A 25,623-nucleotide genomic window follows, 5' to 3' on the forward strand; every position below is an offset into this window, starting at 1 on the left:
CTTTTTACACAAAGAGGCTTAATAGACAAAATAGAGTAACATGGCAGACGGCTCACAGACATATCACATCCTGCTTAAAATCCAAGGTTTCCAGAGTGAGGAAAAGAGGACCAATCAGAGACTCTTGTACAGTCATTTCCTAGGTAACACTCGAACTGACAAACAAATCCTACTGTAAGCAGGAGATGGAAAGGATAAGCTGCCCGTGCTTCCAGAGGTTTACGTGGTTAGCACCCTCCAGCCTGTGCCACCTGCTGGCACTTCATGGGTGTTTCTGGCAACTGCATGAGATCGGCCGTGGTTCAGCAAAGGCTCCTCTTGCTATCTGCCTCTGGTGACAGCTGTTATATTTAGCCTACTATTTACACTTTCTCCTCTTATCATACGCTTTGTCTTCTTATTGTCTATTTACAGCATTAATTTTAGCAGTGAGGTCAACATCTCAGGTACTGAGTGTATGTGTCACAATCAGGAAAACAAAACCTCACTTCACAGCACCTTACAATATTTATCCTACATGGATCTGAGCAGAATTGCTATTTGGCTTAGCAACGGGAGATGGTTTGTGGCCAACCACAGTCCCTGGGTGCACCTGAACCTCATATACTTAAAGTATACACCTTGATCAGCATTAACATATCTTAATTATGATTAACATAAATTAACAGACTAACGTATCTGTAACTGTTACCAAAAGCCAGAGACTATTTCCGTCACCCCCAAAAGTTTTCCCATGATTCTTTAATAATTCCTCCCTCCCTCCACCTCTAGCCTCAGGCAACCACTGTCTGCTTTCTCTCACTATAGTTTGTAGGTAAAAATTTAAGTAAACAGAGTCATATAGTATTAAATACATACTCCTTTTTGCCTTGCTTCTGGTACCCACCTTCACTATTTTGAGACCCACCCACATCACCGCATGCGTCAGTAGTGTCTACCACCGAGCAGTCTTCCACTGTGTGAATGCACCACGATTTCTTTATCCATTCACCTGTTAACACACATATAGGTTGTTTCCAGTTTTTGACATTAGAAATGAAACTGCAATAAACATTTGTGTAAGAGTCTTTGTGCAGACATGTATTTTCATTTCCCTTGGGTAAATACCTAAGGTTGGATGGCTAGTTCCTACAGTAAATAGATATTTGACTTTTTAAGGAAACCCTGGATTGTTTTCCAAAGCGGTTGTAACATTTTACTCTCTCACCATCAGAGCATAAGAGTTCCAGATGCATCACACAAATTTTGGTTTTGGGGGGTTTTCATTTGTTTTCTGATTTTAGATATTGTAATGGATATGTAGTGGTTTAATTTGTTATCCCCCAATGACTAGGGTAATGTTGAGTATCTTTTCATGTGCTTCTTGGCCATTTTTATCTTCTCTTATAAATTATCTGCATAAATCATATAAGTCCCTTTTCTTATTGGGTTGTTTGCCTTCTTAAGCTATTCTTTACACATTCTGGATACTAAACCTTTGTCTGATATATATATATGCTGTCTGTGCTATCTTGTCATTTTCTTAGTGGTGTCTTGGAAGAGCAAAAGTTTATTCTGATGAAGTCCAATTTTCAATTTTTTGACTTATGGTTCAAGCTTTTGGTGTCTTTTTTTTTTTTTTTTTTTTTTTTTTTTTGAGATGGAGTCTCACTCTGTCGCCCAGTCTGGAGTACAGTGGTGCAGTCTCAGCTCACTGCAACCTCTGTCTCTGGGGTTCAAGCAATTCTCCTACCTCAGCCTCCCAAGTAGCTGAGATTACAGGCACCTGCCACCATGCCCAGCTAATTTTTTCATTTTTAGTAGAGACAGGGTTTCACCACGTTGGCCAGGAGTCTTGAACTCCTGACCTCAGGCGATCTGCCCGCCTCGGCCTCCCGAAGTGCTGGGATTACAGGCGTGAGCCACTGCGCCCAGCCTTTTGGTGCCATGTCTAAGAAAATTTTGGCTATCCCAAGATTGCAACAATTTTCTCTTTTGTTTTCTTCTAGAAGTTGTATAGTTTCAGGTTTTACATTGAGGCTTATGATCCATTTTGAGTTAGCTCTTGAATAAGGGTTGATGCCCCTTTTTGTCCATATGGCAACCTGGGTGATCCAGCACCATTTGTTGAGGAGACTTTCCTTTCCCCCATTGAATTACCTTGGCACCTCTGTCAAAAACCACTTGACTAGATATGTGCAGGTCTATTTCTGGATCTGATATTCTCCTTGTATGAGTACGTCCTTAGGAGTACAAAGAAAGTATCAAGTCCAGAAATAGACCTACACATATCCCCCCACCGGAACTAGGCACTGATGAAAAAGGATTGTTAACAGACAGAAGGGAGGGAGAGTGCCAACCCCCGCCACACACACATTCTCTCTCCCTTCCGTCTGTTAATAATCCACTTTCATCAGTGCCCAGTTCTATTCTGTTTAGAAGTTGGTAGGTTCTTGCTCTAGGATAAATGAAGAGGTCAATCTTGCTGAGGAAATGGAATTATTTTGTCTTGAGTAACAACAGTAAGATGGCACTGATAGTCTGACACAATGATTTCTGCTTCTCTGTGCAGTGCTGAGGAGATGGTGATGGGCAGATGTTGAGGACTTTGACCACATATGATTGTTTTTAAAAACAATTAATAAAACTCCCCAATTAAATTCAGAGTTACACTTGACAGCATGTCATACTAGAGGATGAATCTTTCTATTGCTGACGGCGGATCTCGGAATTATAGGTTATGCTCAAGAAGGAACCTACGGCATTACCCATCCTGAGCTGAGAAGAGCGTCCCTGAAGGCATTTCATGGACTGTTTGATACGGCTTAATCTTCTAGAACCAGAGGCGCCAAAAGGCCCACCAACTTGCTTGGAAGCCTCTCCTCTACTCCAACAGCCATCATGTAAGCCAACATTACTTTCATAGTTATATGCTAAGCACATCCCCTACATCTTTTTATTTTCTTAACAATCCTATAAAGAAATTACCATTATTATTTCCACATTACAAAGAAACTGAGGCAGAGAGAGATTAAACAGCCAGTTAGAGCATGGCAGGGTTGGGCTGTCTCCTGGGCATCCTTAACCCCTATGCTCCGGGTCCCCCAGGCACTCACTGGTGCCAAGAGAACCCTCAGGAACTCATTCCCATGGGTGAGGCACTTGCTTCAGAAGACCCCCGGCAGACACGCTGACTGCATGGGCAGCAATCCTGGGAAACCATTCACCCTTTACTGCTGCCTCCCAGGTTCTCCCTCCCAGGTTCTCCCTCCCTCTGTCAAACGTTTCCTGCCTCCAAAGGGTTGCCGTGAAGAATCTACTGCCAGGGCAGGCTGAGGGGTGGTGGGAATTGAACTTGGATGTGTCAAAAGGGAGGCAAAGGAAAGGATGAGTGTCTTCAGAGAGCGCTTTCACGAGTGGCAAAGTCAGGGAAGGGGCTGGAAGTCAATGCCTGGGAAGGTGGCTTGGCCACAAGTGGCTAGGAGACACCCGAAAAAGAAGGCATGTGTACAGAAGCCACATTTCCAAGTAGGAAAGCAGGAGGGAGCTCACAGAGTTAAGGTTGGCACTCCAGCCTGGGTGGAGGGGAGCGGCCCTGAGTGGGAGGGAAGGATGAGTGAGAGGACAAATGGCACGCTGTACTGTAGACAAGGGTGTGGGGAGAAGGCAGGCGAGGCTGTCTCGATCCTCCTCAAGGCAAAACTCACTGAGAGTGAGATAATAAATGGCTGAAGAACATATCAATCACTCCTGACACCCCAAACTACAGGTTGAACACTGAACATGGTGCATACACAGAAGCCTATGATGGAAGAATCACAGTCACCTCCACAGGTGGGACATCTCTGGGAAAAGTTCTTGGCTGGGGGCTTCCAAATCGTTACACAAAACTCTGAGAGGCCATTGCTTTGGCCTGAGCTCCTGCACTAGGCCCCAACAGACCAGACCAAACAAGAATGGAGTCGTTCATGCTAAATGCCACATAACCAAACTGAAACTTTCATGAAGCAGACAGATCCCAAAACAGACTATTTTTTCCTGAAAACAGAAGATTCCAGTCTACCTAAGTTAGTGTCACAAGAAAGTCCCCTCTGCTTTAATCCATACAAAAAAAGTAATTTAAAGTAACCCAATGTTAACCAGTCTGCTTTTCTTCTATTTCTGTTTCCTTGTTCCCACCTCATGAAGCCCACTATTCTGCCATTGCCCCCTGGAAGCTCCCATCCTATGTTATAGAACGGAGGACTCCCCAATTCATCCACCATGAATAGAAGTCGGTTAGATCTATAACGAAATTTGTTGTAATTTCACAAAATCCAAGGCTTAACTATTTTTTTTTTTTTTTGAGACGGAGTCTCGCTCTGTCACCCAGGCTGGAGTGCAGTGGCGCAATCTTGGCTCACTGCGGCCTCCACCTCCAGGGTTCAACCAATTCTCCTGCCTCAGCCTCCCAAGTAGCTGGGATTACAGGTGCCCACCACCACGCCCAGCTAATTTTTGTATTTTTAGTAGAGACAGGGTTTCACCATATTGGCCAGGCTGGTCTCAAACCCCTGACCTCAAGTGATCTGCCCGCCTCGGCCTCCCAAAGTGCTGGGATTACAGATATGAGCCACCGCACCAGGCCGCAAACCTAACATATCTTTGACAAGAGTTCTATTTCCAGTTTTGCTCAGGAGCATGGAATCCCATCTGAGGCTCCTACAGGAACACCACCAACCTCTACACGGCCTGCAGAGCCAGCCTGGCCTCAAGAGCAGGACACACCAGAAAACACCTGTTGAATGGATGCACCAGTGAACAGAGATGGCCACCTCGCCAGAGCCACAATCCATGGGGACTGGAGACCAAATGACGCTAATGACTGCAGGGAAATGAACAACTGAGAGGGGCTCCCTTTTATCACTGGAGGGAAGCTGCTTGGTTCTAGTGAATGGGAAGGAATTGTAGGCAAAAACTCAGGGAGGAGACAGACAAGGAGAGCTTGGAAGGGGAACCTTACTAATTAAGACAGAGAAAACAAAATTTTGCTAAGCATCATTTCTGACTTACAACACAAAGTCATTTTTCCTTTCTTCCTTGTCCCTCCTCCTTTGCTCTCCCTATTCCTTCCCTCCTTCTACCCAGAGACTTCCACGTAAACAGGACACAAAAGCATGACAGAGACCACAGGTGCACACAGAACCTGTGGCCCCCTCTGCAGCTCCGCCTGGAAGTGCCTCCTCTTCCCACGCCTCCTCCCACTCATCGCCTGCCTTGCCCACAACCACCCTTCCTTCAGATGTCGCATGGAGTGTCTGCTTACTGGGGAAGGTCCCCACATACCTCCCCCTACTCCAGGCTTGACAAAAAAAGCTCCTCTGTGTTCTCATGTGATCGTGTCTATTATAGCTGTTATCACTACATATTTAATGTAGCAGCTAATGAGTCTCTCCCCCAACTGTGCTCCTTGGTAGCAAAAGCCAAGTCCTCTAAGAAGTAAAAGGCTTTGCAGTGCAATGCAAAAACTCTAGCCATTATTGCTATTTGACTCTGAATCCCAAGTGCCTAGACAGAGGGTTGGTCTGGAGATGAGCAATCAAATGGTAGCCAATATTATTATTATTAGCATATGTTCATGTATTATTTATTGCCAACATGTGGCTGTTTATTATTCTAATTATAATGATAATCAGCATTATTGCCACATGACCACTTAAGGAGTCTGGGCCCAGACACTGGCCAAGAGCGCAAGGTGAAGAGGTCATGGTCCACGCAAGGCAGAGGCCACTAATGAGCTGGTCATTGATCAGGACACAGAGATAGCTCAAGGGCAAGGACGGGACTTCTAGAACCTTAAATTTAGAAACAATATCATCTTCTTCCTTTGTAAAGCGTGCGACTGTTTATAAAGCATTTCTACATTCATTATTACATCATTTACTTCTCACAGTTCTGTTGTGGAGTACTGGGTACTGCATCCATTTTTGTCGTGAAGAAACTTGCTCAGAGAGGAAGCGTGATTTGCTAAAAGTCACTCAGCCAGTTAGGGGTGGGTTAGGCCTAGAGGTCAGGTCTTCCAATGGCATGTTCAGCTTTCCCCAGACAAAGACAGCTACAGCTGACTGAAGCCCAAGAGAGAGCAATACAAGCTCCATCCAGGGACCCCACAAGGCCAAGCATCAGAGAAGCCACAACTGGACATGTTGAGATGGTGCTCAGGAGCTGAGTCTGAAATCACCTCTGGCCACTATTTGGGGCAACCTTGATTAGCAATTCAGAAACTTCAAAAGGCAGAAGAGCAGCAGCCTCCACAGCAGGGCTCTCCTCTACTGCCGATTCTCCTAACTAACTGTTCATTTGATCCTTATCATAAGCCTTGGATGGAGGTGCCATCTCCATTTTACCTAAGAGGGGCCCCAGAGTCAGGGTGACTGCATGACTTGCCTGCAGTCACACAGGTAAGAAAAGGTAGAGAGCGCCACACCTTGGACAGATGCGGCCACGCCCAAGCCCTCCCACCATGCTCAGCAGCTTCACTCCAGCGCCACCCTCCACGTGCTCCACGCATCCCCCCTTCTCCTCATCCCACACTGTCCTGCTGCAGTCTCCACCGATGCTTGGTGCACTTGCATGTGGGCTTTTTTTTTTTTTTTTTTTTTGAGACGGAGTCTTGCACTGTCGCCCAGGCTGGAGTGCAATCTGGTTCAAGCAATTCTTCCACCTCAGCCTCCCGAGTAGCTGGGATTACAGGCTACCACCACACCTGGCTAATTTATTTATTTTTTTTGTATTTTTAGTAGAGACGGGGTTTCACCATGTTAGCCAGGCTGGTCTCGAACTCCTGGCCTTAGGTGATCCGCCTGTCTCGGCCTCCCAAAGTGCTGGAATTATAGGCGTGAGCCACCACGCCCAGCCAGCATGTGGGCTTTCAAGAGACAAGGTAGTGGAGGCACACCCTGGTCAGCAGCACAGAGTGAAGGGGCCCATATGGAAAGGGTCATAGGTGGCAGGAGTAGCCAGAAAGGCCAGGGACAGGCAGAGCCAGCTGGGGGCCTGCACATCCTCCTGCTTTGGGACAGCCCTCGGCAGCACTGCCCTCAGGAGTGTGGGGAGAAGACAGACAGGAGGCCGGAGCCAAAAAGCCAATGGGCAGCAGGATCCTAAAGGCCCCATGTGCCAGGGCCAAGATAGTCCTGGACGAGGAGACCAGGTTCAAATCCAGGCTCTGCCGCCACCCAGCTGACGATCTCAGGAAGATCACTTCAGCTTTCAGAGCCCCTGGGTCCTCGAGCAAAGGATAAGCTTGCCACCTGCCCCTTCTTACCAAAGCCAGGCGTGGCTGGTGGGGTAAAAACGGGGAGAGCAAGATACTTCTTTTAAAACAACCCATATTAATATACGCATCACTGTGGAATGGTTAAGACATCATAAAGATATACCATTTTTACTTGTTAATTAAAAAAATATAATAACTAAATAAAAAAGATGCAGTCGGGGAGGCAGAGGGTCAGTAGTGTCATGGGTTTCTGGAACCTGCTTATTTTGATTAAAACTATCTTTTCATGCTAAAATAAAACAAACAAAAATTAAGCAGCCTATTGGTAAAAGGAAAGCACTATTACTACCATTGTGGCACAGGCCACACACATCCCGGCTTCCAGAACTGCAGTTTCAGAGACGGCTCTGCGGAATCTGTTTCATGAACCACCTGCAGGTTGGGAGGCAGCAGCCTGTAGCCATTTGCCCACACAGCCCTGGAGCAGAGTCCCCAGGTCCTGTTCCAGTTCCCCAGAGAGCCAGCTGGCCTGACTGCTCCAGCAAAACCCTGAGGGGCAGGCAACACCACGAGGCTCAGAGTCAACCAACTTTACAGTTGGGAAATTCCAATTGCACAGCTCTCTTACTCAAAACTCACCCATTCCTGCAATTATTCCCACTCTGAGAACCGTGCAGCGAAACTAAAAAGAAGGCTGCCAAGGGACAGGGCTGGGGAAGGGAAGACGCTGTTTCTGACAGAACCTACAGTCACAGCTGGACAGAAATCCCATGTAAAACGCAGTTCTGCAACTGAGACTAAGGGGGAGGTGTCACTCGGAGCTAAGTCTGTGACACAGAGGCCCTAAACACTGGTCTCCCTGGTTTTGCCCAGATCCTACCCTCACAGCCTGGTTTCTGCAGAAGCAGCAAACTCTCTATGTGCAGCCAGGAGCCATGCTTTATTTAACCTGCATGAAATTATCCACCCACTCTCAACCAGAGTTTTCAAAAATGTTTAATTAGTTGCCAGTTTATCTCACATTAAACATAGGTTTCCACTTCCTTTTTAACACTCAGAAGACATGATGATGATGAGTCTTCCGTACAGCCCACATTCCAGCATGATATCTCCAGAGGAGGCCAGGCCCTTCATCCAAGTGCGCACACCCCAGTTGCCACAGACCTGGTCAGTTTCTCCTATTTTTGCTTCAGAACTGGCTTCTACCAGCATTTGAGTTTGACTCCTAATTGAGATGAAGCATTGTGAATAAATGCACATTTTGGATTACTGCAGGCCAGAGGTCAGGGGCCTGGCTGTCACCTGTTGGCTTCTATAAACCTCTAGCCAAGGGAACCAGAAGACCCAGGATGGAGACAGACACGGTCAGCTGCCACCTGGCAGCATTTACCTGGCCCCGTGGGCCACTCAGCCCTCAGCCGAGGAGGAGGCCTTCCCCTCTGGAGATGGGAGCTCACACAGCTTGAAAGCTCCTTAGTTAACAACTCTGAAGGCTTAAACAAAACCACCAGCAAAACCATCTGGCATCGCTTCTTCAGAGTTCTGATGAGATGACCATAAATGGGTGTGATTTTTAAATCCCACACCAACAATGGATGAAAGGATAAAGAAAATGTGGCATATATACACAATGGAATACGATTCTGCCATAAAAAAAAAAAGTGACATCCTGTCATTCGCTACAACACGGATGGAACTGGAGGTCATTACGTTAAGTGAGATAAGCCAGACACACAAAGACAAGCATCACATGTTTTCACTCATGTGCGAATTAGAAAGAGGTGATTGTGTAAGAGTAAAAAGTAAAACAGAGGATTCCAGAGACTGGGGAGGGGAGGGGGAAGGGAGGGACTTGTTAAAGGATACAAAATTACAGCTAGATAGGAGGAATAAGTTCTAGTGTTCTAAACAATTATAGGATGACTAGAGTGAACAATAATATACTATATAGGTTATAATTGTATAATATATCACATATTATATAGCTAGGAGAGGGATACTGAATGTTCCCAACACAGAAATAATAAATGTTTGAGATAATGGATATGGTAATTCACTAATTACCCTAATCTGGTCACTATACATGATATGTATCAAAACATCACTATGTACCCCATAAATTATCATTATTGTCAATTTAAAAAAATAAGTAAATTAAATGTTTACAATCCCATAGCACAATTCATCAAAGGTACAGATGGTATGGGTTCTGTAAGGACAGGCGCAACCATGGAATCTTCAGCTTCTCTGAACCCCAGGTGAGGCTGGGTGTTGGATATGTACACCTTGAGGGGGAATGTAAGTCGGTGAGCTGCTTCTCTTAAGAGTATTTGCACTGTGGGATAATAACAGATTGCTCCCAGTTAAAAGTGGTTCAGCTATCGGGAGAATAACAAGGAGAGCCATTACAAGGGCCGTGAGCACAGCCATCCATCCCCTATCACATGAGCCCTGCTGGAAATTAATTTTTAATGCCAAATAAATGAATGTGTCAACTGGCATAGTGCAGAAAATGCCCACCAACAAACATTTCTCAGAGTGGAGGCATATTTGCAAGGCCTATAAAACGTAGACGTTACCTGACTGACATCTAACATGTATAATCACACTTGGTGCCCTCATATCTTACCTAAGGTTCAGATTCTGACTGAATGAAATGCAGGCTAGCAAGTCTGATGGAGGAGGAGGACGCGAGAGTCCCATATGCCAGGCAACCAGGGAGATTGGTTAAGTAGGAGATGAAGAGCACAGGACTGTAATAAATGGTAATATTTGTTCGGGCTATCTCTGCTTCTGAAAAAGACTAAATACCACAAATAGGTACATTCCTATCCCCATATCCATTTTTCCTCCCTGTCACTGAGATGTTAGAGAGTAAGCGCTGGCCAACTGTGGTGATAAATAACAGTTAAAATCCTGGTGGATCATTAAAGGGATGGCACTAATCATTTACAAGGGAGTGAGGAAAACAACTTAAAGCAGCCACTTTCATGCCTCTACTAAATGCAGGAGAATGTCTCACCTCATTTTCATCTTCCCTATAAAAACACACATATACACACAAACACACATACATGCAATACATCACCCAACAAGGATTAATATCTTTTTTCAAAAGTAAAATTAAAGGTCTAATCATTTTGGTCTTATATCAGATGGTGCATGTAGCCAAGCTCACATCAAATCACATCCTAAGAGGAGACCAGATTTTGCATTCAAATTTCCATTGCAACTTGTACACAGGGAATTATTGTAATGGCAGCATCTTCATCTCCTGGTAACCACATCAGCTGCCTGTCACGAAGACTGCATGACAGGAGGCTGTAAAAATATTTCTTTTCTCAGCACTCATAAGGGGAGGGAGGGAAAAAGAATCAGAGTGCCGGTAATGACTCTCACCCAGAGGACAAAGCAGTCAAAGACACATTTTAATATGAATTTGTGTCCTCCAGTTTCAATATCCCAGTGTCAATTGTGCCAGAAAACCTAACATGAATAGATTTATGACTGAATTGAGGTGCAAAGGAAAAAAATAATTCTTAATACAACGATCATTGAATGAACACAGAACAACAGATGCAAACAACACAGATTGGATCACTCTGCTTCACAAAAATAACCCAATTTCTCTTTACACACACAAAAAGTCTTGCTTTAAAAATAGTGAAAATAGCTAAGGAAAGGCACACAGAACCCAGTCCTAGCTCACCTATCTGGAGTCTCTTCACCTTGCCCAGTGTTTCTCTCCACCAGGTCATTTGCATCCCTGCAACAAGTTCTTCTGACCCCCAGAATGTTGTCTGTTCCCTCTCAACATGCCCGACTCCACCCGGGAACCCTGCGATAAGAGGCAGCCCAGGGGGCCAGCGCTGGCAGGAAGGATTGTTAAGGAAGAAGAAGGACCTTACCACTTCTGGGAGCAGCCTAGTTGAGAGGTCATGGATGGCTTTGACCACTATACATATGGATGACAGAAGGAATATCACCCCCAAGATGACACAGGCTCTGCAAAAAACAAAACATTGAGAATCTTAACTGGGAGAACTCACACTGCTGAAGAGTCCACACAATTGACAGTGACAAAGACACAATCTGGGAATGAACTCAATTGTAATTTGCCACACCCCCAGGGTGACCACCCACAGTCCATGGATTGACACTAAGTCACCTCTAGGAGAATACAGTTCAGAGTTTGATCACCAAAGTCAACCACAGGGAAAAGAGATCACCATCCTACAGAAGCTCACAGCATACCATGAATGCTGTCATGGAAGGGTCTTCAAGGCCATGAAATCTTTCTCCCTTGCCTGGCAAATGTGATGTTTCATTCCTGCTCAAACGGGAAGGCACATGGTTTAACAGCAGAATGGAGGCTCTGGCATGAGACATGCCAAGCTCTACCATTTACTTAACTTGTGTGATCTTGATTATTGTCTCTCTTAGCCTTGATTTCCTCATCTTTCAAATGGGAATATATTCCCTACCTAAAAAGGAAATGAGACAATGCACCAAACATAAAATGGGAAGCCATTACTGTTAGCTTAAGCAAAGGAAAGTCTACTCTGTCACTTTTGGATATGACGTTGATAGACCCCTTTGCATTTTCCCAATGATGAAAAGGAGAAATGATTTGGTAATGACAAGACAGGAGTTTGTGGTAAGAGAAACTCTAAAAGGCAGAAATGAGGGGTAAGAAAGGAGAAGGTCAACCAAGACACTCAGCACAGGCGGAGGCAGGAGCAGGTGTGCAGTGAGGCCAAGGGTGAAGTGAGAGGACACACAGCTGGGGGTGTGGCATGGGGACTGGCAAAGAAGGCTATGGGACTCAGGACATAGGAAAAGTCTCTGACAACCCAGACACAACAAATCTCAGGATGGAAAAATGAAGAGTGACGGAAGATGAAGGTAGGCATGAGGAAATGATACCATTACAAGGGTTAAAATATCAGATGAAGAGGGAGAAAAAAGATAAAAAATACAAGAGTGACTACAGTGAGGTTGAGATCATTCCTGTCCCAGCTTGATGTCTCCACCATTTGGTGGCCTCCTGAGCAATCTTGCTCCAACTATCAAACAAAATCACGTTTTATTATCCACCGTGGAGTCCCTTCTCTAGAGTAACAGCATGGCCCCAAATTGCTCACCTAATTTTGAAGTGGCACCTACTTATAACCCAGTAAACCTGTGAACAGACCCCATCCTCCACATTTAGGAGTGAGGAATAAAAGCAGGTAAGCGAGGCTGCTTGGATTCCACTCAGCTTCTAAGTCACACTGTGGTGTAGGTTTTATTCCTTCAAAAGCAAAGACGGAATCATCGCAGGTTGGAGCAAAACACAAAAAAGAACAGAGATGGAAGGAAAAGGAATGAATGGGTTAGGAATCAGCACAGACTTGAGCAAATGAATATACACATGGATGATGGAAGGAACATCACCCCCCAAGGGACACAGGCTCTGCAAAAAAAAATGAAACATTGAGGATCTTACCTGGGAGAACTCCACACTGCTGAAAAGTCCGCACAATTGACAGTGACAAGGACACAACCTGGGAATGGACTCAACTGTAACTTGCCACACCCCCAGGGTGACCACCCCTAGACCAAGGATTGACAGTAAGTCACCTCTAGGAGCATACAGTTCAGGGTTTGATCACCAACGTCAACAGGGGAAAGAAGTTGCCATCCTACAGAACCTACATGAATGCTGTGAGCAACGTGGCCCCATGATCCACCAGGGGCAGAAGAGACAATTCAGGCAATAAGTAGGTGCTAATGTGCTGCCTGTGTGTGACAGTGCGCCTGGGGCTGGGAACCACAGTCCTAACGCTGGAATCAGGGACAGAGGGGGCCATGATAGAGTCCTGGAGGAATGAGGTGAACCTACTGGAGGGCCCTTTAATGACTACATACTGTAGCAAGAGCAGGGATTCCTAGGGCTTGGGAATCATCACTCCCAAAGCACTTGCCTCCTGTTTGGAAGACAGTTCTGGACCAGCTGTGCCAGGGACCTGGAGTAACCATTCCTCCCTATGAGCACATGTGCATGAGAGGTCCCATTACAGGAGAAGAGCCTAAAATCAGGATAGGCCTCCAAGGTAAGTTTCGCAATGTGGTCCTTCCCTCCATTCACAAAACTCCTGAGTGACTCACAGAGACTCACTCTTCAATTAACCTTTTCAGGTAACTTCAGTCATCAACTCAGCACTTCCCAGCACTGAGAGCACATTGTACTCACCTGGGGAATTCCTTTTTTTTTTTTTTTTTTTTTTAAAGTTTCCTGGACACCACTCCAGTTCAATTTTATCAGAATTTCCAGGGGTGAGCCTAAGCCTCTGCATTTGTTTAAAAGCTCCGCAGGCAATTCTTGTGTACACAGGATTGAGAATGTCCGGCCTAGAGTCAGGTGGGGCCCTGTCCCTAGGAAGCTTCCACTGTGAGGTGACAACACAGGACTCCCTGGAACAGAGGCTGAGATAGAAGCGACATCCAAGCTGGGGAGGAAGGAAGGGGGTCTCGTGGGACCTAATAGGCCTTGTAGTGCATTTGTTTGTCAACCAGCTTTCACTCCCTGAAAATCAAGTAGGGCAGCCACAACTTGCGTGCTATACTCTACACGCAATTTGTCACCATATCCCCAAGGGAGCTTCCATCTCCATACTCCTCTGGGGGAAGGAAGGAACAAATGCCTGCTTCTTTCTGACAGGGAACAGTGGTGATAATGCCGGAATTGCTTCTCACCAGCTCACTGCAGCCACGCCTCCATCACGCACAAAAGGCGGATATGGATTCTGTTTACATTTACCTAAGGAGATGAGTGTGAAGGATGCAAGGGCTTCGTAGGTAATTTATTGCTTACTTATCTTTACTCAAAATTACACTATAAATTCTGTAAAGGCAAAAACTACATAGCATGTAGCAGGTACTCCTCATGCAGTAGAGTGGATCGAACATCAATGGATTCATCCCTGACTGATCGTAAGCTCCCCCCATGGAGTCTGAGGAGGCATCAACCATTTACCACTGGGGATGGGAGGAGGAAAGAGACTCCCAACACGTCAGCCAAATGCCCGTGGAATAGCCCACACGGTAAGGCAGCTCTGAAATATAATGAAAATCAAAAGAAATTTGTGATTTGGTTTATTAAAGTTGAATTTCACAGAATTGTAATCCTATTTTCTTCACCAATATACCTATGAATATACTCCAAAATGTGTCAAAAACTCATTTGCATCTTTTAAATGTGTTACAGATTCAAAACCCACAGTCACCCCTCCTTCCACACTGCTGGGAGCCTGTATGTCAGAGTGTCTCCAACAGCCCAAAGCAGCTATTATTAGCGGAGGGCACGGTGCTATTTTTTAACGATTTATTAATATTTATTGTGTTTACACAGCAGTTTTCTCCTCTAGCACTCAGAGCTCCACACATCAGCTCATCAGTCCCCTGGAGGCCACTCACCGGACCCAGGTTTTTGTTTTTCTGCTATTTTATGGATGAGGGGTGGGGAGAGAGGTGTTTTATAAACACTAGTGTTTAAAAATGGAGGAGTCAAGGATTAGCGGGCTTGCCTAAGGTCACTCAAGGAGTTTGTGAAGTCCACCCAGAAATAGAATCCCATTCAACTGCCTCCCTCCTAACAGCCAGCCCTGCTCAACCATCCAGCCACACGAAAGCTCTGGGCAGCCACATCACGTGCTCACACCACCACTGCCCTGGGACTAGTGGTCTCCAGGATGCTGTGAAGATTTGAGTCAGGAGCAAACAGTGCAAATATGACTGCTTATGCATCTGCAAGTATGAGCTGCTTCCAGGCTTGGGGGACCAGAGACGGGTGGGGGCCAAAGGGTAATTGCTCCATCAGCAATCCCTGGCCTCAACCCAGAAAGGCTGGCCTGGCCAGTAACAAGGGCATTGAGGAACCAGGTCACTAAAAAGAATATAGACTCCTCCCTCCTGCCCCAACTCTGGGGGAGAACTTCATGGATCAGAAAGAGGCAAGGGAGATGTACCCCTTCAGCATAATCCCCCAGTCAACCCAGACTGAAACCAAATTTAAATTCCCGGCCGGGTGCAGTGACTCACGCCTGTAATCCCAGGACTTTGGGAGGCCGAGGTGGGTGGATCACCTGAGGTCGGGAGGTCAAGACCAGCCTGCCCAACACGGACAAACCCCGTCTCTACTAAAAATACAAAATTAGCTGGGCATGGTGGTGTATGCCTGTAATCCCAGCTACTTGGGAGGCAGAGGCAGGAGAATCGCTTGAACCTGGGAGGAGGTGGTTGCAGTAAGCTGAGATCACACCACTACACTCCAGCCTGGGCAACAAGAGCGAAACTCTACCTCTAAATAAATAAATAAATAAATAAATAAATAAATAAATAAATACCCACCGGATCAGTGGTTGTCACAGTGTGGTCCACGAATCAGCAGCACCCGCGTCACATAAGAACTTGGTGGAAAAGCAAATTCTGAGTGAGTCCACCCCAGACCTACTGAATCAGAAACTCTGGGGACGTGGCCCCTCAATCTGTGTTTTAATAAGCCCTTCAGGTGATTCTGATGTACGCTCAAGTTTAAGAACCACTGAATAGGCCGGGTGTGGTGGCTCACACCTGTAATTCTAGCACTTTCAGAGGCCCAGGCAGATCTGCTTGAGGCCAGGAGTCTGAGACCAGCTTAGGCAACACAGAGACCCCACCTCCACAAAAAATAAATTAGCTGGGCATGGTGGTGTGTGCCTGTAGTCCCAGCTATTCAGGAGGCTGAGGCAGGAGGATTGCTTAAGCCCAGGAGGTTATGGCTATAGTGAGCCATGATCGTGCCACTGCACTGCAGTCTGGGTGATGGAGAGAGACCCTGTCTCACACACACACACACACAGACACACACACACACAGACACACTTAATGTCTGAAAGGAAGCAATGGTTAACAAGCCACTTCAAAGAAATGATTAAAGGTAGTTAAAGCCTCCTTTTTTTTTCTATTCTGCTAAAGGATCCAAATTGCTAACTGTGCACAGTACTGTAAATCTCTAGAAGCATCAGTTTTTGATTCTGAAGTTATAAGGGCAAAACCTACTGACAGACACTCATACACAAAATGTTGTCAGATCGAAACTTTGGCCCCTTGTCATCTGTAGGTTTAAAGGCCTGTGGCTCACATTAAAATTGCCTGAGTCCTAGCCTACCAATTCTAGGTTACTTCCTATCAGATCAAAAGAGCCAAACAAGAGAAGCTTCTCCAATCACCCTCTAATTTACGATAGATCTAAACATAAAGTAGCCCTGGTGATTAACCAATTCATCCCACAGTTTAACGTGTAATTGTTTTATGTATCACCTTTCACTCTGGTCTCCAAAGCATTTGTAATCTGAGACAGTGCTCAAATGTGAAGCAAATAATGAAAAATAAAAGAGTTAAGTGGTGTGAGCATATAACACGGTACTTATGACTGCACAATTCCTAATGCTGGTTTTCTCCAGCTAAGCCCTCTTTCTCTCCGTGTGTTCTGACATTTCAAACAAAGCCACAGAGGAAGCTCATCTTGGAGGCAGGATAAAAGGAGAAAGTGAGCAAGGAATGGCTGTGAGCCATTCTCTCTTGTCTATCATGCAGAAGCCAAACCGGCACCATCTGGTTAAGACTCCACCCCTCCCTCAATCCGTCACTATCAATGCCTCTCTCCTCTCCTCCTTCTGGAACTCCCCCACTTCCCTTCATGTTTGTACTCATCATCACCTCATTTCTTCCCTCAACTCTCCTGAACTCCAGCCCCTCATCCTCTCTCTCCATCCATTTCCCATCTCTCTCCTCTATCTTCATCTACCTGCTGTGTTTGTGGAGCGGGTGAGATTGACTTGGACCAGGGACAGTCACTCAGACCACAACTTTCCACACAAGCATTCCCTACCCTCTCCATGGTAAGAGCCTCCACTTCCTCAAGTTGCAACCATTAAAACCTCTCCTTCCTCAACAAATGACCTGTGGTTTACACCTGTAATAATACACAAGCTGAACAGAACCCAACCAACTGAAATCCCACTTAGATAGGACTTTATTTCTGGCATCTACTTTAGGGACAAAAGTCAGCATGAGGAACTTGTTAAATGATTAGTCTCTAGAGCAGAGCAGACCCAGGGCATTTTCTGTGATGATGGATGCTATTCTATATGGTAGCCACTCACCACAGGTATCTACTGAGTATTGCAAATGTGGTTACTGCAACTGAAGAAATGAAATTTTAATTTCTTTTAATTAAAAACCAAATGGCCACATGTAGTTGGTGACTACCATACTGGACAGTACAGTTCTAAAGGTTGGGCTGAAAATACACAGGCTCACCAGAGGGGCCGTTGCCCAAGCCACTCCTCAAGATGGGGTCAATTTATGTGGACTAACAGGGACTGCTCTAGGAAACTATGTGAAGGCACATCAGGCCTTTGGTACCTGCACCAATCAATGCGCCATTTCCTTCCCTCCAGGGAGCCCACCAAGCCCCAGGTCTACATGCCAGTCTCTCTCTTGTTTTCATCTAACATCAACCTATCTCCAGCCACAGCGACCGCTTCACCAGGGTATCTGCATTTTAGAAAGTGACTTGAAAATTCAGTCACTCACATTTTAAGTTCTACATGTCAAGCCCTGAGGCTAAGGCAAACAAAATCTATACCCAGCCTCCAGAGAGCACGAATCTAGGATAGGAAACCTGGAAATCACTATAGGACAGTCCATCACTTGTGAATGTGAAAATAGGCAATGGACAAGGAATAAAATGAAGACAGAACTAAGAGTGATAAAACACAACCTGTGAGGACAGAACAGGAAGAAACGATGGCTCTGTAGTGCGACATCTAAGCTGGGTGTACAATGGACAGGAATCATGAAGCAGAGAAACTAGAAGGCTTTGGAGGTTACTCCAGACAGAGCAGAGGAAATTTTATGGACTAAAGCATAAAGACACAGCACTGTGGGGCCCTATTTCAGCAGGAGTTCAAAATGGAGATGCTGTTCCTGGAGCATTTGGCCCCAGGGGAGCAGCAATGCAGTGGCCACAAAGAAAGGCCCTGTGTGTCCTGGAAGCTCCCTCAAGATGGCAGGTGCATCACCCATGGTACACATAACGGATCTTAGACGGCATACAGACCAAAACCTGTTGTATTTAATAGTTACATATTTTAATGTACCTCAGAAAAAAAAGACCATCGCTCCATGATGGCAGAGATATTGTTGCTTAGGGAAAAAATGAATATGATTATATTGAGATAAATATTAAGTTCATAAAAGGATAGGATAGCTAGTACACAGATAGGGCAGGATCACCAAGTTGGAACACACAGGTCTGAGGTTGGGGAAACCTTTGTGGTGACAGGAAGTCGCTGCAGCATTTTAAGCAAAGGAGACCCATGATGTGATCTGGGCTTTGCAAAGACCCTCCTGACTACAGCTGGGATTGGGAAGGCTGAAGGGTAAGAACTAGAGGGAGGGGAATAGCCTGGAAGACAATGTCAATGGCCACGAAAGCAAACTGATGACTCTACGCACGGGCCATGACAGCTGAAAAGAATCAAGATGGAAAGACACCAAGAAGATCGAACTGGCAGAACTCGGTGACTGACTGGACACAGGCAGAGGAGGAGAAGGGTACAAGGACAACCCCAATTTTGAGACTGGACACAAAGGAAGAGGTAGCGGTGCATCCAAGAGCAGGAAGTGAGGAGCCGGTAGTGAGTCTGTTTGGGGCTTGCCAAGCTTAAGGAAGGTCTGGACAGTGAGATACACTGACCTGAGCCTGAGAGGCCTCTTCCCGGCCTAGGCTCCCAGGGCCATTTTCCTGGGGCTTCCAGGTTTCACATTTCAGGGTGGAGGGGAATGGATAGAAAGAAAGGAACAGGGAACAGCCCGTCTAAAGGTTGCCAAACCCTACCCAAGATCTCTGCTTCCAATGTACACTGCACAGGGAATGCATGCGGAGACTCGTGGCCCAAGGTCTTCCAATTAATCAGCAAAACACTGATTCTTGTGTTCCAGGGCAAGGATTTGGCATGAACAGGACAGCAATTGCCTGTTCTTGTGGAGCTCACATGGGGATAGGCAATGAACACATGAACACCCTGTACATTATATACAGAGACAAAGCAGAAAAAAGGGGAGAACAAGGCGGGGGGGGGTGCTGTTACTTTATATCCAGTACTCACACTTCTTTCTAATGAGGGTACATCTGAACAAAGACCTACCAGATGGGAGAGTCAGCTCTGCAGCCACCTGGGGACGAGCACTCCAGGCAGAGGGACAGTGAGTGCAAAGGCTCCTGGCAGGAGAGAACCCAGCATGCTCAACCTACGGCAACGAGGCCAACGTGGCTGGAACCCAGGGGCCTTGCCATTACCACAAGGACTTGTGTTTTTCCACTAAGGATGGCAGGGCACCACTGGAGGACTCTGCAAAGTCAGGAGACGCAACCTGACTCACATTCAAAAAGGATCACTCTGGCTGCTCTTTTGAGAAAAGACCAAAGAGGGACATGGGTGGAAGCGGGGAGACCAGGAGAAGGCACCTGCAGGGACGCTGGAAGAGGTGATGATAGAACAAGGCAGGAGAAGCGGCAGCGCAGGGAACACGGGTCCTACAGGCTCCCATGAGATCCAAGGCAGACTGGCCGGAATTCAGTGCATTCCAGCTGCTGAGGGAATAAGGGAACCAGTGGCTGTTTTGAAAGATTTTAAAGGTACTCTCAGGGTAAACCTGCTTCTCAGGAGAATATGGACATCTAAAAACCTTGCTACTTTAGCCAACTGTTTATTTCAAGTAAACCATGCAAGTATTTTCAATGTCAGGGCAATTAGCTGCACCAATTCCAATTTTTTCTTAAATATCTGCTGAAGGTACAACTGCTTGTCTATGCATGGAATATATCCAGGCAGATACCCAAAGAGAGTGAACAGCTTTTGCTGAACACGGATGGGGAATAGAAGCCTGCTTTAGGAAAAAATATTCTTAGAGAAGCTGATCATGGTTTTTGTAGTTGTGTGTGTGCAGATACAACCTATGAAACATGAAGAAACACCGAATGTCTACCATTTGCAAATAAACCTGCTGTGCATTAGCTACGAGGACAAAACATGGCCCTTTTCCTCCAAGTAGAGAAAGGGGGCATTTAAATCACACAAAAATATTCCTAGAGGCCCAGGCGCAATGTCTCATGCCTGTAATCTCAGCACTTTGGGAGGCCAGGGTGGGCAGATCACCTGAGGTCAGGAGGTCGAGACTAGCCTGGCCAACATGGTGAAACCCCATCTCTAATAAAAATATGAAAATTAGCCAGGCATGGTGGCACACATCTGTAGTCCCAGCTTACTCAGGAAGCTGAGGCAGGAGAATCGCTCGAGCCTGGGAGGTGGAGGTTGCTGTGAGCTGAGACTGCACCCCTGCACTCTAGCCTGGGCAACAGAGCAAGGCTCTGTCTCAAAAAAATACATATTCCTAGAGAAGCTGAGAATTGAGCTGACTTTGAACAAACCAAAGAAATTAACTTGATAAAGAGGAGTGAAAAGTATGTTCCAGGGAAAAGGAAGGCAAGTCCAAAGGCACGCCAGAATTCATTCATCCCGCACATTTCCACTGCACCTTGTGCCAGGCACTGTTCTGGGGGCAAGCCATGCAGGTATAGGGAGAAGCAGCTTCAGGCGCTGAGATGGAACCCTCTTAACTCCAAAGGGGAGTAAGAAAGAGGGAGAATGGTGAAGGCAGATCATATAAGGTCTTAGAGCTGTTGTCAGGATTTAGGCATTTACAAAGATGGGAAGCCACAGGGCGCACAAACTTGGAAACAACATGATGTGGCATGTTTTAACAGGACCACTGTTCACCAAGGGCAGAAACAGGGAGAGCAGCGTGCAGGCTGTGGCACTATCCAGGCCAGGTGAAGGTGTGACAAACAATATCATGACTATCCAGGCCAGGTGAGGATGTGGCAAATGATGTCATGGATATCCAGGCAGGTAAGGATGTGGCAAATGATGATATGGATCAGGATATAGTACTGAAGTGTGAGTCTGGACAATTTCTGATTCTGAGTTTTGGTCTGTTCAGGGATATATTCTGAAGGCACAGCTGACAAGTCTTGTTAATGCGTGGTAGGAAACAAAGGAGCCAAGAATGATTTGAAGCTTTGAACCTGAGAAAAGCAAAGGATACAGTTACCATTTCTGGAGACAGGGAAGACTGTAGGAGAAGCAGGTCTGGGGGCAGAAAAGATCAGGAGTGCAGCTGTGGACGCAGTAAGTGTGGGATGTGTGTGTTAGACATCCAAGTGGTGGTGTTGAGAAGGGAGCTGGAACAGGAGTTTAGATTCAAACATGACTCAGGAATCATCAGCACATGGATTACACCAAAATCTTTCAAAGCCAAGTAGATTCTTTCCCCCTCCAAGAAATTACAAATGCCCTAGAAAAGCTGGAGTGAAGGTTCCACGACGGATCCAGCTGGGAAGCTGAGTAGGAGGGAGAGTGAGACCCAACCCTGTGGAGCTTCACGTGCTAATAAGGTAAGCTGTATAAACGTTCTTGCGAAAAACCATGCAGAGCCCCTGACAGCTTTGAAAATGATGAAGATGATTAGATCTGCATTTTCCAGCACTGACTCAGGCACTGTCTGTGCTGCACACTTGCAGGGCCTGACCTGCATTCATCCTCCCGCTTCATGGGTAATGGGCCTCAATGCTCCCTCCAAGCTCCATTCTCCCTGAGGGGAGGACTGACAGTCACTGCACCCCACCTGGAACCCAGGCCCCTGACCCAAGCTGGGCCCATCAGACACTCTCCCTGGACTTTCAATCCAAGAGGAATGATAACAAGGACTGAAAGCCAAGATGATTCGTCCCTGAGCAGGGATGGCTAGAAGGCCATGCTCAGCTGAAACTGTCAACCAGAGTGCTGAACCAACACCCCTGGGTGTAGCCAGGCTTCCTGTAGCAGGCGGGCTGTCTTTCCCCGAGCCAGTGCTCCACTCAAACCAGGCAGAAGCTCCAAGGCCTTGGAAGCATGCCGCGTCTTTCCAGGGCATTCTGCAGCCCTTAAGTAAGCCATAGGCTTGCTGAGGTTAAAGAAGAAGGGGACAAGACGCCACCTCTTGATGGAGGAGTGACAAGGTAGCATTGTAGAACAACATGTGGAGGGGGGCTATGGTTGTGGTTATCTTCAGAAAATGCCACCTGTCACAAGAATGAAGAGGCCCAAGACCAGGTTGGTCATGTACTATGTTAGCAAACCCTTTGTTTCCAGAAATTCTCTCATGCTAGAGTCAAAGTCGGGGGTGTCAATCTTTTTGCTACACTGGAATAAAAAGAATTGTCTTGGGCCACACATAAAATACACTAACGATACTGATGATCTTTTTTTTTTTTTTTTTTTTTTTTAAAAAAAGAGGTCTGTACATCAATCTTGTATTATTTTAAGAAAGTTTACAAATTTGTTTTGGGCTCTGTGCATGAACTACTTTGACCAAGCTTGTCCAACCCATGGCCCATGCACTGAAAGCCATCCTGGGCCACATGGTCAATGCAGTTCACGCACAGAGCCAGATTCTGAGGTTTCTATGCTACGGTACAGAAGGCGATGAGTGGTCGTCAAAAGAAAACAAGGAGGCCAATTCCCAGTAGGCCTGCAGAAGTGTGTATCATTGCTCACATCAATTGCTCTCAACCTCACACCCCTACCTTTGCTGTGTGATTCACAGCACCTTTGTGTAGGGGATGTATACATCCTGCCCACTATGGGACTTGGCCGTGTGACTTGCTCTGGTCAACAGTGAGTGGAGATGACATCACTGTACCTGCGCAGAAACTTTCCATGTGCACAATTGGTTTGGCCTCATTTCTGCCCAGTGGTCCTAGGAGAGGAGCTATTCCTTCTGCCTAAAACCTGGAATGAGATCTCATGTGGAAAAGGCCACCACCAAACCTTGGCTTACATGGAAATGATTAAGAAATGCAAGTTTGCAGCATAAGTCACTGAGACTTTGGGTGCTGCTATTGCAGCAAAGCTGACAGATAGAAGATTCTTGAAAGGGACGCATCTTATGGCAGTGGCAGCAAAAGGCTGTCTCAGCAACGCGATACTTGGAACCAAGGGAAGAAGTTGCCTGTCCGAATGATAACAGATGAGTCATCTCGAGCCTTAGTCCATCCTGAAAACCAGGCAATCCCACTGACACAAGATGTACAGAAAACCACCTGAGTGAATAATCTTACTGAATCAAAAAGACAAGAATGGAAGCCCCCCGTGGTCTCTGAACTCTCACACGGGGTCTGAAGCATCCAGCCACTCTTCTGCTCTGTCTCTGTGGGAAATGACGAGCTCAGCACCTTCTGAACACAGGCTTCTCAGCATAACATGGTTAATTAAATCTTTTATTTATTTTGATTCCTATAAAAATACTCCATAATTTCCTTAGTAACCTATTTTCCAGTGTTTCTAACCTTGATTATAGTATTTCAAGTAATTGACTTAAATTATTCATTCACTTTGATCCACTTCTGGGAATCAATCCCTGAAGAAAAGGCTTTTTGCAGAAGAATGTTCACAGTAGTGTTATTTATATTTAAATGTGGGAAATTTAAATGTGCCACAAAGGGAGTGTTTAAGTAACTGTGATACATCAATTCAGTTGACTATCAGATGCCATTAAAATTTTTTTTGTTAAAGATAAATGAAAAACAGGATATAAAAATATACATATGCAGATTAGAAATACATAAAAATAAATCTAAACCCAGGGGGAAATTTTTGGAAGGAAACACACACTAAAGTAATAATAGTAAGAAGACAGACTTTGTTCCCTTCTACTTTTCTGTGCTGTACTTTTGTAACAAAAACAAAATTTCTAGAAATGTCTTCTCCAGCTACATCACTTCTAACATTGACCTGTATTTGCATCTTCACAAGACATGAAATGCTGGTCTCTATCAAGTCTCAGACTTGACATGTAAATCAACCATGTTTTCATGAGCACGTACTACGTGTCCTGCAGGGTGCTGGGGCTCAGGTGTGCAAGGTGCAGTTTTGGTGAGTTTCTGCACTGTTTCTGGGGCAACATAGAAAGCTGCTACCCAAGCTCAGCTGTTCATAGCTTCTTCTCCAAGGCTCAGTTTCCTTAGAAGGAAAATGGGAATGATAAAAAGACCACTTCCCTCCCAAAACTGTAGCAAACATAAATAAGATGGGTAGGCACAGGTCATCCAAGATGATATTAAGCATATATAAAATATGGGCCATGTGCGGAGGTTCAAGCCAGGCACAGTGGCTCACACCTGTAATCCCAGCACTTTGGGAGGCCGAGACGGGCAGATCACTCGTGGTCAGGAGTTTGAGACTAGCCTGGCCAACATGGTGAAACCCCATCTCTACTAAAAGTACAAAGATTAGTGAGGCGTGGTGGTGGGTGCCTGTAATCCTAGCTACTCGGGAAGTTGAGACAGCAGAATCACTTGAACTCAGGAGGCAGAGGTTGTAATGAGCTGAGATTGCGCCACTGCACTCCAGCCTGGGCAACAGAACAAGACCCTGTCTCAAAAATAAATAAATATATATATATTCATATATATTCATATATATGTTCATAAATATTCATATATTTTTATATATATTCATACTTATATTCATACATATATTCATACATATAGTCATACATATATGCATATATATGCATATATTCATATATACATATATATTCATATATATGCATATATATGCATATATATATGAATAGATATATATGTGCATATCTATTCATATATATATGCATGTATGTATGAAAGGTAAGGCTCCCAGGTGAGTGGAGAAGAGGCCAAACTCTGTCTACGGCCAAGGACCGCAAGACTAAAATGCTACTCTAGACTAGAGATTTACCAAGCACCCCAAATTAGAGAACAGAGGCAAACGTGAAGGGAGGTTGTGAGCTGTAATTAATGGTTATGTGTTTAGTGGATTAGTTTACATGGATTTTTCTGTCATTAGTTTGTAACTTCACAACTCCTTATCATGCTGACTTGCTTTACCCCCACCCACCCCCGCCAAAAAAATAACATTTCTAATCTAATCCTGTGGCATCATCTTCCATCATTGGGACCTCTGGTAAAATTCACCATACTGTGCCCTTTGGGAAGCTGATCAAACTTCCACAGCTGATCAAGCTGGCCAAGTTCTGTGGACATGAATTCCCTGAGGCAAACACCCCATGGCATGTGGGTAAGCATGTGAGGCTTACAGAGAACTCTCGTGGACTTCTCGCATGCTTTTCCTTGACACTGCCCAATGGAGTATACATTACCTTTCCCCTCTGACAAGTCAGAAGGCTGATGGGGAGATGGGGAATTACGGAGAAATAGA

General features: G+C 45.6%; 1 protein-coding gene and 1 long non-coding RNA gene across 2 annotated transcripts in view; one reads left to right on the forward strand and one right to left on the reverse strand.

Annotated features, from left to right (window-relative positions):
* TMEM163 (transmembrane protein 163) overlaps positions 1-25,623 on the reverse strand; it is a 263,242-nt gene that overhangs the window by 35,997 nt on the left and 201,622 nt on the right. The window contains exon 5 of the mRNA NM_030923.5: positions 11,146-11,242. Within this exon, the coding sequence (NP_112185.1) occupies positions 11,146-11,242 (97 nt within the window). The remainder of the gene's footprint in view (positions 1-11,145; positions 11,243-25,623) is intronic.
* LOC124906076 (uncharacterized) lies at positions 229-5,075 on the forward strand. The gene is made up of 3 exons (XR_007087242.1): positions 229-334; positions 2,717-2,882; positions 4,646-5,075. It is a non-coding gene; the product is annotated as an uncharacterized LOC124906076 (long non-coding RNA).

This window comes from Homo sapiens, chromosome 2, assembly GCF_000001405.40.
Source record: "Homo sapiens chromosome 2, GRCh38.p14 Primary Assembly".
Classification (NCBI taxonomy): domain Eukaryota; kingdom Metazoa; phylum Chordata; class Mammalia; order Primates; family Hominidae; genus Homo; species Homo sapiens.